The sequence below is a fragment of the Homo sapiens genome, chromosome 19, assembly GCF_000001405.40.
Source record: "Homo sapiens chromosome 19, GRCh38.p14 Primary Assembly".
NCBI lineage: Eukaryota > Metazoa > Chordata > Mammalia > Primates > Hominidae > Homo > Homo sapiens.
The window spans coordinates 45,943,337-45,957,302 of NC_000019.10; the positions used below are offsets into that span (position 1 = coordinate 45,943,337).

At 47.0% G+C, this 13,966-nt stretch overlaps 1 protein-coding gene across 2 annotated transcripts in view, besides 1 other annotated feature; it reads right to left on the reverse strand.

The window, feature by feature from the left end:
* The window catches only part of NOVA2 (NOVA alternative splicing regulator 2), a 40,132-nt gene that overhangs the window by 9,603 nt on the left and 16,563 nt on the right, over positions 1 to 13,966 (reverse strand). For both annotated transcript variants that reach the window (NM_002516.4, XM_006723230.4), the window contains one exon: positions 10,444 to 10,610. In NM_002516.4, the coding sequence (NP_002507.1) occupies positions 10,444 to 10,610 (167 nt within the window). The remainder of the gene's footprint in view (positions 1 to 10,443; positions 10,611 to 13,966) is intronic.
* Positions 9,199 to 10,146: an enhancer, noted in NCBI's record as "H3K27ac-H3K4me1 hESC enhancer chr19:46455793-46456740 (GRCh37/hg19 assembly coordinates)". NCBI's record gives its function as "activates a minimal SCP1, AML or CMV promoter by ChIP-STARR-seq in naive H9 embryonic stem cells {active_cell/tissue: H9 hESC(naive)}" and the evidence as "EXISTENCE:reporter gene assay evidence [ECO:0000049][PMID:30033119]".

The following is a 13,966-nucleotide window of genomic DNA, read 5'->3' on the forward strand; positions in this document are numbered from 1 at the left end:
TGAGCCACCGCACCCAGACACTATATGACTACTTTTGAATGTCCTGTTGGACATTCATGCTGATGAAGAGCCTGTTTTTAAATCTCTGAGCCCACGTCTGGGCACGGTGGCTCACGCCTGTAATCCCAGCACCTCGGGAGGCCAAGGTGGGAGGATCACTTGAGCCCAGGAGTTGTAGACCTGCCTGGGTAACATGGCATGACCCCATCTCTACAAAAAAAAAATTAAAAACATTAGCTGGCCTGGTGGCACATGCCTGTAGTCCCAGCTACTCAGGAGGCTAAGGTGGGAGGATCACTTGAGCCTGGGAGGTATAGGCTACAGTGAGCTGTAATTGTGCCACTGCACTTCAACCTGGGCAACACAGTGAAACCCTGACTCAAAAAAAAAAAAAAGTCTCTGAGCCCAGAACCCAACTGACACAGTGAGACCCTATCCCCCCCAAAATAAATAAGTAAATAAAAATAACAAAATAAAAAAAATCTCTGAGCTCAGAGCCCAACCCCATGACACATGTAAGTACCAAGTATTGTTTGCATGGTTTTAAGAGCTACTGAAATTTCCAGGAACGCAACTACCAGTAAATCAAGAGCAGATTGTGCTTTGTTTTGCTCTGCACTTCACTAAAAGTTTTCATCATTTTAGAAAACCTGGCGTCAGTAGCAACAGCATTTGTATTATTTAAGTCTCCAGTATTATACTCTGGATCACTTTACATATGTAGTTGTCTCACTTAGCTATGCTTAGGTGTGAGCAGCTGCCTAATTCATTATTCCTTCTATTGTGGTCCTGACTATTTATTTACATATTAAAATTCACCTTGGCTGGGTGCAGTGACTCACACCTGTAATCCCGGCACTTTGGGAAGCTGAGGCAGGGTGAATCACTTGAGCCCAGGAGTTCAAGACCAGCCTGGGCATCATGATGAAAACCTGTCTCTAGTAAAAATACAAAAAATAGCCAGGTGTGGTGGCATCTGCCTGTGGTCCCAGCTACTTGGGAGGCTGAGGTGGGAGGATCACTTGAGCCCAGGAGGTTGAGGCTGCAGTGAGCTGTGATTGTGCCACTGTACTCCAGCCTGGGCAACAGAGCAGACCCTGTTTCAAAAACAAAACAAAACAAAAAACAAAAACAACAACAAAGAAGCAAAAAATAAAATTCATCTTGTTTTATAACAAATCACCTTCCTTTTATTTCTTCTTTATTTAAAAAAGTCTCGTGGGATAAATAAAACATGGTATATCCATACAATGGAATATTACTTGGCAATACGTTGAATGAACAAAGTACTGATACATGCTATAGCGTGGATGAATCTAGAAAAAATTATGCTAAGTGAAAGAAGCCAGTTACAAAAGACCACAGCTGAGTTCATTTACATAAATGTCCAGAATATGCAGATCCACAGAGCCAAAAAGGTAGATTAGTGGTTGCCAGGGAATGGGAGGAAGGGGATTGGGGGTAACTGCCTACAGGCATAGGATTTCTTTTGGGTAATAGATACTTTCTGGAATTAGAAAGTGTTGATGGTTGACCATATACTGTGTGATTCCTTTTACAGAAATGTCCAGAATAGGCAAATCTATAGACACAGAAAGTAGATTTGTGGTGGCTTGGGGTTAGGGAGAGGGTGAGCTGAGGTGGGAGATCGAGGGGTCATAGCTAAGATGATCAAGATTTCTTTTGGAGGCCAGGCTCGGTGGCTTATGCCTGTAATCCAGCACTTTGGGAGGCAGAGGCCAGAGACTGCTTGAGCCCAGGAATTAGAGATCAACCTGGGCAAGATGGTGAAACCTCATCTCTACAAAAAATAAAAATAAATTAGCTGGATGCAGTGGTGTGCACCTGTCGTCTCAGCTACTCAGGAGTCTAAGGGATCACTTGAGCCCAGGAGTTTGAGGCTGCAGTGAGCTATAACAGGTGCCACTACACTCCAGCCTGGGTGACAGTGCAAGACCCTGCCTCTAAAAAAAGAAAGAAAGAAAAAAAAAAGGATTTATTTTGAAGGCAGTGCAAATGTTTGAAAATGGATTGTGGCAATAGGTGTACAACTATGTGACTATAATAAAAGCCAATGAACTGTACACTTTATTTATCATGTATTTTATGTTTCTCTTTTTTTAAATAGGGTCTTGCTCTGATACCCAGGCTGGAGTGCAGTGGTGTGATCAGAGCTCACTGCAGCCTTGTACTTCTGGGCTCAAGTGATCCTCCGGCCTCGGCCTCCTAAAGTGCTGGGATTACAGGCATGAGCCCCCATACTGGGCCTAGAGCCGTGTACCTTAAAAGGGTGAGTTGTATGTGAATTATATCTCAATAAAGCTGTCAAAAAGTCTTACGGGTGTAGATATGTCTATATGTGTATATATGAATATGAATAGTATTTCAGAGAGTCAAGTGAACATGACAAAATATTTGTAGGAGAAAGGGGGTGTTGCTGTGACAGAGCTCCCCATGCTCTATTCCCTGTTGGTCTCCCTGACTTTATTATTATTATTATTATTTTTTTTTTTTTTGAGACACAGTCTTGCTCTGTCACCCAGGCTATGGTGCAGTGGCATCATCTCAGCTCAATGCAACCTCCACCTCCTGGGTTCAAGTGATTCTCAAGTGAGCCGAGATCATGCCACTGCCCTCCAGCCTGAATGACAGAGTGAGACTCCATCTAAAAAAAAAAAAAAAAAAAGGCCAGGCATGGTGGCTCATGCCTGTAATCCCAGCACTTTGGGACGCTGAGGTGGGCAGATCGCTTGAGCTCACAAGTTGTACAGCCTGGACAACATGGCAAAACCTCATTTCTACAAAAAGTACAAAAATTAACTGAGTGTGGTGGTGCATGCCTGTAGTCCCAGCTACTTGGGAGTCTGAGAAGGGAGGATGGCTTGAGCCCAAGAGGTGGAGGTTGAAGTGAGCCAAAATGGCATCACTACACTCCAGTCTGGGTGATCGAGCCAGACCTTGTGAACAAGAAAAAGGAATCTTCATTTATTCTAGAGTAAAAGAGACTAATGAGGTGTAACAATCAAATGCAAAGCACGAATGTTGACTGAATCTCAGATTGAAAAATCCTCTATAGCTATAAAAGATATTTTAGGGCAATTTGAATATGGACTTTCCAATGAGACAATAGTATAGAATTAGCATTTTTGTTTGTTTGTTTTTGTTTTTAGGTGTGTTGACAGTAATACAATAATGTAGGAGATTGTCCTTGGAAGATACATGTTAAAGTACTTAGGAGTAAAGAGTCATGAGGTCAGCCAGGCACGGTGGCTCACGCCTGTAATCCCAGCGCTTTGGGAGGCCAAGGCGGGCGGATCACGAGGTCAGGAGATCGAGACCATCCTGGCTAACATGGTGAAACCCCATTTCTATGAAAAATACAAAAATTAGCCAGGCGTGGTGGCACACGCCTGTAGTTCCAGCTACTTGGGAGGCTGAGACAGGAGAATTGCTTGAACCTGGGAGGCGGAGGTTGCAGCGAGCCGAGATCATCGCACCACTGCATTCCAGCCTGGTGAGTGAGCAAGACTCCGTCTAAAAAAAAAAAAAAAAAAATCACAACAAAAATTGTGTGTGCGCACGCGCATGTACACACATGCATGCACATGTGTTCATGCATGCACAAATGTTAACAACTGGTGAATCTAAGTGCAGTGTATGGGGACTATTCCTTAAACATTTTCAAAATAAAAAGGAAAAAAATCTATGCCCTAACATTCCCTTTTCCTCTTCTCCGCTTTATTTTTCTTCATAGTATTTTTCACTCTCTAACATCCTCTATATTTTACTTATCTCCTTGTTTATTTTGTGTTTCTCTGTAAAAGAATTTCAAATCCACGAGGTTAGAGATTTTTGCCTGTATTATTACTGCTGGGTTCTCAGCGCCTAGAAAAGTGCCTGGAACACAGTAGATACTCAGCAAAGGGTGAGCGAATAAATAGACGGATGAAGACTGAAGGATGACACGCCCACAGGCCCAAGCAGGAAGGCGAATGGGTGGAGGCAGCAGGTGTATCTTACCTGGTGGGGGTGGGGAGTGGTAGAGTACTATGCAATTGGGCAGCCAAACTAAGCCTGATGGACATTTTCCAGATGAGTTGGAAATGCTGATTTGTAAAATGTGAAGCACCCTAGTTTTTTTTTTTTCTTTTTTTTGAGACGGAGTTTCGCTCTTTTGCCCAGGCTAGAGTGCAGTGGCGCAATCTCAGCTCACTGCAACCTCCGTCTTCCAGTTTCAAGCGATTCTCCTGCCTCAGCCTCCCGAGTAGCTAGGATTACAGGCACCCACCACCACGCCCGGCTAATTTTTGTATTTTTAGTAGCGATGGGGTTTTAACATGTTAGCCAGGCTCGTTTTGAACTCCTGACCTCGTGATCCGCCTGTCTCAGCCTCCCAAAGTACTGGGATTACAGGCCTGAGCCACCACACCTGGCCAGCATCCTAGTTTTTAAATGTTGGCAATCTCTTAAAAATGTCTAAGATTTGTGTAGTAGAAACAATGCAATGTACTAGCCAGGCTACCCATTTGCAGTCTGTGCATACAAATCCCTGAAAAGCTGCCTTGGACTCTGGAGTCACCTGCTTGGGTTTAAATCCTGGCTCCCTGTCTGATGCTGGGCAAGGGACCTAACCTCTTTGAGACTCAGTTTTCTCATCTGTAAAACAAGGATATTCAGACCTCCTCATAGGACTATGATGAAGCTTAATTGAGCTTATGCATGTAATGGTGAGCTTGAAATCCAAGCATGACCACAAGTAGCTGGAACTGAGAGTGAGTGCCCTTCAGGTGACTCACAACTGCTACCATTGGCAGATTACACCTCAGTCCCTATGTTTCTGCTTGGCCCTGTGGGTGAAGTCATCACCTATTCATTCAAATAAGTGACATGTGCTGAGCACCTACTATGTGCCAAGCATAGGGCATCATGTATGTGTGCAATTAATATAAGCCATAGAAGCACTCAAGAAATGATTATTGTCAGCCGGGCGTGGGGGCTCATGCCTGTAATCCCAGAACTTTGGGAGGCCAAGGTGGGCGGATCACGGGGTCAGGAGATCAAGACCATTCTGGCTAACACGGTGAAACCCCGTCTCTACTAAAAATACAAAAAAATTAGCCAGGTGTGGTGGCGGGTGCCTGTAGTCCCAGCTACTCGGGAGGCTGAGGCAGGAGAATGGCGTGAACCCGGGAGGGGGAGCTTGCAGTGAGCCGAGATTGCGCCATTGCACTCCAGCCTGGGGGACGGAGGGAGACTCTGTCTCAAAAAAAAAAAAAAAAAGAAAAAAGAAAAGAAAAGAAAAAGAAATGATTATTGTCATTGTTATCCCCATGGATGGAGCTGGATTTAAATCCCACATCTGCGGTACAGCTATTATGGAAACCAGTCTGGCAGTTCTTCAAAAAGTTGAACATAGATTTATCATATGTCCCAACAATTCCACCCTAGGTATCTACCCGAGAGCTGGAAATATATATCTACAAAAAGACTTGTACATGAATGTTCAGAAGCATTACTCATCATAGCTAAAAAGGAGAAACAACCCAAATGTCTATCAACTGATGAACAGACAAGCAAAATGTGGTCTATGCATACAATGAAACATTATTTGTCTATAAAAAGGAGTAAAGTTTTGACACATGCTAAACTATAGATAAACCTCGAAAGTATTACATCAAGTGAAAAAAGCTAGACACAAAAGACCATATATTATATGATTCTGTTTATATAAAAGATCCAGAATAGGCAAGTCCACAGAGACCAAAAGTAGATTAGTGGCTGGAAGACGTTGAGACTGGGATCTGGGGGAATGGTGAGTGACTGCTCATGGGCACAAGGTTTCTTTTTGGCATGATGAAAATGTTCTGGAATTAGATGGTAACTGATGTACGACTCTGTGAACATACAACAAAACTACTAAACTGTACACTTCTAAACAGTAAAGCTTACAGTATGTGAATTATAGCTCAACAGAGCTGTTATTTCAAAAAAAAAAAAAAAAAAACACCAGGAAAAACAAACAGCCTGACAAATCAAGAAGATGGAACAGCATGTTCACAACCACAACCAGGAGTGGTATTTAGTCTGTGATGCAGTATTTTAGAGCAGTGAAGGAAGGATAGATTGGCCAAGAAAAGGTTTGAGGACAAGGGGTTAATCATGTGGGAAAAATAAAGTTAGGTTTTAAGAAAATTTCTACCTCTTCCACCTCCTAGCTGGTGGCCTGTGAAAGTCCCTTTACTTCTCAGAGCCTCTTTTTCCACATCTGTAAAATGGGCATACTATTCCCGATCCATACGATTTGTGCAAATATTCAGTGAGACACTGGAAGCCTGCTCTCTGGAGTCACTCAGTCAGCAGGGTTGCTGTTTCTACAACACAGCAAGGTCCAAATCGTAGGTTGTTTTTTTTTTTTTTTTTTTGAGACAAAGTCTTGCTCTGTCAGCCAGGCTGGAGTGCAGTGGTGCGATCTTGCCTCACTGCAACCTCTGCCTCTCAGGTTCAAGTGATTCTCCTGCCTCAGCCGCTGGGGTAGCTGGGATTACAGGCGCCTGCCACCATGTCTGGCTGATTTTTGTATTTTTAGTAGAGATGGGGTTTCACCATGTTGGCCAGGCTGGTCTTGAACTCCTGGCCTCAAGTAATCCGCCCACCTCGGCTTCCCAAGGTGCTGAGATTACAGGCATGAGCCACTACGTCCAGCCTCCTAGTTTATTCTTTAGTAACTGTGTGACCTTAGGCAAATGCCTTCACCTCTCTGTGCCTTACCTTTCTCATCTCCAGTATTAGCATAACCACACCTACCCTATATTATTATTGGAAACATTCTTTTTTTTTTTTTTTTTACAGTCTTGCTCTGTCACCCAGGTTGGAGTGCAGTGGCGCGATCTCGGCTCACTGCAGCCTCCGCCTCCCAGGTTCAAGCGATTCTTCTGCCTCAGCCTCCTGAATAGCTGAGACTACAGGTGTGCACCACCATGCCCGGCTAATTTTTTTGTATTTTTAGTAGAGATGGGGTTTTGCCATGTTGGCCACGCTGGTCTCGAACTCCTGACCTCAGGTGATCCACCCACCTCGGCCTTTCAAAGTGTTGGAATTACAGGCATGAGCCACTGCTCCCGGCCTGTTATGGGAAACATTCAATGACTAAAGTGATGCCCAGTGCCTGGCACATGGGAAGCGCTAAGCCAATGGCAGCTGCCTTCATGATAGACCCTGAATTGTAGAACTACAGCATCTTAGAAAGATCTGCAGATGCAGACTCATAGAATCTTGGAATCCCAGGACATTAGAACAGTAGAATCTTAGATAATACATGCTTAGAATCTTGGAATCACAGAGCCATAGAACTGTTGAAGTTTTAGAGCCAGAAGGACCAGAGACCATCTGCCCCAGTGATTTGCAAGCCCATGGAAATTTGCAAATACTACTACTACCACCACCAACAATAACAACAAAAGCAGCATCAACAGCTAACAGTTTAATAGAGTAACTTATCTAGGTTCCACCACAACCCTAAGATAGGTGTTATTATTACCCCATTTTCTAGATTGGGAAATGGAGGCACAAAGAAAGAACTTGCACAAGTTCTTTCACAGGTAATGAGCAGTAGAGTCAGGATCTGATCCCGGGCCAGAGTTTATGCTCAGATTCCTAAGCCTTACCAGAAATATTGATTCAGTGGTTCTGGACAGGACCCATGAATCTGCATTTTAAGCTACCCAGATGACTCAGATATCAGCTAGGGGTGAGAGCCACTGGTATAACCCAGAAGTGGCAATCTGGTGATCCTCAGGCCCCAGTCAGCCTACAGCCATACATGTTTTTTTGACCTTCATAGTGTTTTAAAAGCAGAGTTGGCCTGGCGCAATGGCTCACGCCTGTAATCCCAGCACTTTGGGGAGCTGAGGCGGGTGGATTGCTTGAGTCCAGGAGTTAGAGAACAGCCCGCAACATGGTGAAATCCTGTCTCTACAAAAAATACAAAAATTAGCCAGGGGCCGGGCGCAGTGTCTCATGCCTGTAATCCCAGCACTTTGGGAGGCCAAGGAAGGCAGATCACCTGAGGTCAGGAATTCGAGACTGGCCTGGCCAACATGGTGAAACCCCATCTCTACTAAAAATACAAAAAATTAGCCAGGCATGGTAACAGGTGCCTGTAATCCCAGCTACTTGGGAGGCCAAGGCAGGAGAATCACTTGAACCCGGGAGTTGTAGGTTGCAGTGAGCTGAGACCAGGCCATTGTACTCCATCCTGGGCAACAAGAGCAAAACTCCGTTTCAAAAAAAAAAAAAAGAAAAGAAAAAAAAATTAGCCAGGCGTGGTCGTGTTCACCTGTAGTCCCAGCTATTCAGTGGGCTGAGGTGGGAGGATCGCTTGAGCCTGGGATGTCGAGGCTCCAGTGAGCCTAGATCATACCACTGCACTCCAGCCTGGGTGACAGAGTGTGACTCTGCCTCAGACTAATATATATTAAATAATAATAATAATAAAGCATTTTAAAGTCAGTTGATCTAAAAAATTTATGGCTTCTTTTGAAAAATTTGGAAGATGTGGTAGCACTATGTTCATGTTCCCAAAGTGCAATAATTCGGTGGATTTGAGTGGCAGCTTCTCCCTTTAAAGATGGCATACCCTCTCCAGAGAGCAACAACCCTCAAGGCTTTTGTTACCTTTTTCAATACTTTAGTTATTTAATTTATAATCCCTGGTTTGGCCCAGCTGCTGCACTGTAATAAAAGAGAAACTGAGGTCTACAGAAGGAAAGGGGCTCTGAGTAACACTGCAAGTCCAAGGCAGAAAAGAAGTAGACCTGTTTCCTGACTCAAAAATCCCATAATAACAACAGAGAACATTTTTGGGGCTAACTTTCTATGCATTATACACATAAGCTATGTGCTTTTCAAACATCAACGAACACTAACCATCACCCTTAAGGAGGCATCATAATGAATCTCATTTTACAGGTGAGAAAAATGAGGATTGGAGAAATCAAAGTCACTTGCTCAAGGTCACATAGGACGTAAGTACTGTACGGAGAAGGATTCAACTAAACAACAGAGCCCAGAGCCTGAGTTTTCAGCTATGATCTCCCTCAGTCTTTGGAACACTCGAGTAATAAGGCAGGGAATAAATCCTGGTTCTATAACCTTTCGACTCCACTGTCTCAGAGCTCCTGTGGATTAGGGGGAGGGGGTAGAAGGCTCAGGCACAGATGGTGCTGACCCCATTTTCCTTGCAACATTCACAAACTCCTGATGAACCCTGAGTCCCTTGTGGCCACGACCAAGGCGGAGGGAAGAGGCAATGCCCTCGCCTCCCTGTAAACTGTGAATAACTTGTGCGCTGCTGGTGGGAAGGGATTCGGGAGAAACCTGGCGGGGAGCGAGGAGCTTCAGCACCAAGGACAGCGTCCGCGCTACACGCCCCAAGCCCTGCGGTCTTTTTTGGGAGCGCTCCACCCTGCAGCTCTCCTCCAGGCTTCTCCGCCCACCATTTCCCCATGAGCTTAGGGGAACTCAGGCCTGTGCTCTGCCCCACCTCAGGGCAACGACAGGACCCAAGAATTCCAGATTTTACGGACTCCCTCTCTCCTGTCTTTGCCTCTAGGTAGACGTTAACGAGCCCTCGCAAGGGGCCCTCCCGTCAGCCCAGGGGTTCTCGCCCCATTGCACGGAGTACGCATGCATAGGGGAGTGGGGACGGGAGAGAAAACGGGAGCCAGCCCCGCGTTTCCGTTCCCTTACGCACTTCCGGGTCCGGACAGCGCTGCCTGCAGCTTTGAGGGGAGCCCACCTGCCCCGTGAGCGCCGTCGTCATGGCAACCGGACAGGCCCGGGAAGCGATTGGCCACTCCCTGCCACGCCCCTATGCCACTGCTTCCCCGTAACTGAGGCAACGGAGGGGCGCTGCCTTCCCCCTTCCATTCCTTCCTGGAGAGGGCTGTGTAGGAGAGGGACCCACCTCTTCTCTCGCTAATGAAACACCACCTCTACCCCCATACGTTAATTATGGAGGGAAGGAGGATGAGAGGCCATTTGTAAACTCTTCTGGATGTGGCTGAACTGTCACTGAGGTCACTTCCGGTGATAGCAGGAAGTGGGAGGCAGGTCGTTCAGAGAGACAATGGGATGAGGTGGAAGAGAGAAGAGGAACTAGAGAATCCTAGGAAGAAAGGATCGAACAATAGGGAATCATGCCACATTCTCCCAGACCTTCACTCCCTCTCTGAATCAAGCCCACTCTAAATGTTCTGGAGTCCTTTCTATTCTATTAGAGCTGACTCCCTAAAAATAATACTAACCACTACCATGTGGTCTTTGACTGATGAGATTTTTATCAGCTTTGTCCCATTGAACCTCACAGTAAGCAGTGATGTGGGAGGAATGTTTCTTTGTGAATGTCAACAGCTTTACAGCAACCCAGTCTCTGCCCCAGCTGACCTGCTTGGCTCTGTCGGGGTTCATCGTGGTTTGGGGTTGAAGGATGTTGACCACCTCAGGCTTGGTCATCGCTTGTGGGATTTCTCGGACCTTCTCGGCAATAAAGCTGTGCACAGCATTCAAGGCCTCTGCCGTGCCCTGTACTAGGCATACCCGCTCTGTGGTTCCTGTTGAGCAAGGGAGAGAGAGGGCACACTCATGAGACAGGAATGGGAACATTCCTGAGAGACAGGCCCCATTTAATGGAAGAGGCAAGCTGAGGTCCAGAGAGTGGACCTGACTGATCACACGGTGAGCCTGGGGGAGCGGGCATGGGCTGGCAGGCCATGATGGGCAGCTGGGAGAATGAGTGCCATCCTGTTTTATAATCTGCACTTCATCTCCCTCCCCTAAAACAACCTCTAGGGATGGAAGAATGATGCTTAAATGTTTTGCGATGCCCACAGCAGCCCTGGGCAGGGGAGACAGGGCTCAGCTGCCTCTTCTCAGTTCTTGCGGTTCCCTGGTTGCTTTGGCAACCATTCACTCACTCCGCCCCCCTCCCCTTCTGGAAGCAGAGAGCTCAGGCCTGCAACGGTTGCCACAGTAACTGGAACCCCCTTATCGGTCTGGCTGGCCGGGTCCTCAGCCCACCCCCAGGGGGACGAGGGACGAGGCCCTGTTGTCATGGCAACCCCTGAAAGCCTGCAGCGTTGGCCTCTGGGCTTTTTGGAGAGGATGGGGGAAGAGCTGGGGGATGGGGGAGGCAGAGGAGAGGCCTGAGTGCCTGTCTGAACCCACCAGATGGAGGGCTGAGGGGTGGGGGAGGGCAGGGGTGTGGACAGGGGAGAGCAGGGTGGGTCAAAGACTGCTCATGGAGGAGTGAGGACCAAGGAACTGGGGAGGGAGGGTCTTTCCTGGAGATTCTCCAGATACTGGCTGTGGCTCTGTCCTGGGCATCCTTCTCATTTCTGCATGAGAGTGTTAGGGAGTGGGGGCACGGGGGAGAGAGAAACTGGGGGGTATTGGGATATGTGTGTGAAAGAGATTCTGGGTGACACTGTGACCAGTGTGTGTGTCTGCGAGGCTGGTGAGTGGTGTGTGTGTGTGTGTGTGTGTGTGTGTGTGTGTGTGTACTTGAGCAGGACTAGCTAGATGATCCTAATCTGTGTTTGTAGAAGATAAAGTGCAGAGACTGCCTTATGAACAGACTATGTGACACAGTGATTCCGGTGAAGATGTTCGTGCGTGCCCTTGTGTGTGGGACAGACTTTGGTGTCGCTTTGATGATGAAGGTTATGTAGACTCTTTGTGAGACAGAGCTGAGTGTATGTGAGAGTTTGAGAGAAAGAAACAAAAGAATCTCACAAAGTGGGATAGAGGCTACACAATGAATATATACCACTTTGAGACTGGATGGCAGTGTATGTGTCTGCATTTGTGTGTGTACGTGTGTTTGTGAAAGTGAAAGAGAGACACACTTCTGGATGTTTCTGAGACTATTTGGATGACCAGTGTGAATATACACATATGTACAGGAGACAGGAAAGACCCTATGACCAGTGTGTGTGAACCTGAGAAGGAGAGACAGACAGGTAGACTCAGGTGTCAGTTTGTAGGACTTTTTGGATGACTGGTGTGTTTGTGTATGTGTGTGTCTGAACATGTGAATTACAGCGAGACAAAGAAAACTTGACTGGTCAGTGTGAGAATGTGCGTGCCTGGGTGAGCCGGGATGTGTGTGATGCGTGGAGTGTGAGTGTGTCTCTCTCTCTTTGAAGGGGATTCTGCCCCTGAGAATGTAAAAGGTCTTGAGTGTGGCCGGGTGCGGTGGCTCACGCTTGAAACCCCAGCACTTTGGGAGGCCGAGGTGGGCAGATCATGAGGTCAAGAGATCGAGACCATCCTGGGCAACATGGTGAAACCCTGTTTCTACTAAAAATACAAGAATTAGCTGGGCGTGGTGGCACGCACCTGTAGTCCCAGCTACACGGGAGGCTGAGACAGGAGAATCGCTTGAACCTGGGAGGCGGAGGTTGCAGTGAGCCGAGATCATGCTACTGCACTCCAGCCTGGCGGCAGAGCGGGACTCCGTCTCAAAAAAAAAACAAAAAAAAGAAAAAAAACAAAAAGTGTCTTGAGTGTGCACCAGGCACCGTGTGGCTGTGTACCTGTGTGTCTGGGATACCTGGGGTGTGTGTCAGTGTCCAGCAAGCACTTCAGTGCAGCACGCTGGTGACACGACCCTGACTCCTCAATTGCCATTTCCCAGTCTGGCAGGCCAGCCTCGCCATGTGTCTGGGCGTCACTGTCTGTGGGTCACTTGTGTAGCTGACATCCCCCACCCGCTTTGGGCCATGTTCCTCACTCTTACTACCCCCCCTTCCCCACCCCAGAACAATGGCTTGGTCTGAGCCAAGGGTGAGTCAGCCTGCAGTCTGCCTCCGTCTGGTGTAAATAGGAAAGGGTGTGGGTTGGGGTGGGAACTGGGGGGCGGGGTAGGGGGAGGTGGATGCCCCAGGAAGAGCTGGCCGAGGGTTTGCCTCTCTGTGAAGCTTCCTTCCAACTCAGGAAGTCTTTGACCTTCCATCCCCTTGTAGTTTTTACAAGGGGGCCCACAGGGGCTTTTGGGGAGGTTGGTTAAGCCCCACAAGAGTGTCTAATAATAGCTGACCCTTATACAACCCAAGCCTCAGGCACCATTCTAAGCACTTTTTTTTTTTTTCCCTGAGACAAGAGTCTCATTCTGTCGCCCAGGCTGGAGTGCAGCGGTGCGATCTCAGATCACGGCAACCTCTGCCTCCCAGTTCAAGTGATTCTCATGCCTAAGCCTCCTGAGTAGCTGGGATTACAGGCGTGTGCCACCACGCCCGTCTAAGTTTTGCATTTTTTGTAGAGATGGGATTTCACCATGCTGGCCAGTCTGGCCTCAAGTGATCCACCCGCCTTGGTCTCCCAAAGTGCTGGGATTACAGATGTGAGCCATCGCACCTGACCAAAGCACTTTATACATACGTGTTCACTTAATATATGAAGTAGGCAATATTATTATTGTCCCTGATTCCCTGCTAAGGACGCCGAGGCACAGAGAGGGCTCAAGATGTGTTCAAGTTCTCTTAGATGGTAGTGGATGTTCAGAGATTTGAACCCAGGTGTCTGGCTTCAGAGTCTGTGCATTCTGCTAAATTTGGGGTGCATGGAGTGATCAGCTCTATGTGTGTATCTTGGAGGGAGGCATAAAATGATGACAGTTTTATTTTTGTATTTTTGATATTAAAAAGAATATGAATGTATTAAGTAGTCATTCAAGAGTATGCACGTTGATAGAGGTATGTTATAAAACTATAAAAATGTTTTTTGAAGTGTGTGTGGTGGGACACAGTGGCTCATGCCTGCAATCCCATCACTTTAGGAGGCCAAGGTGGATGGAGGGCTTGAGCTCAGGAGTTCAGCCTGGGCAATATAGCGAGACCCCATCTCTACAAAAAAAAATATACAGGCCAGGTGCAGTGGCTCACGCCTGTAATCCCAGCACTTTGGGAGG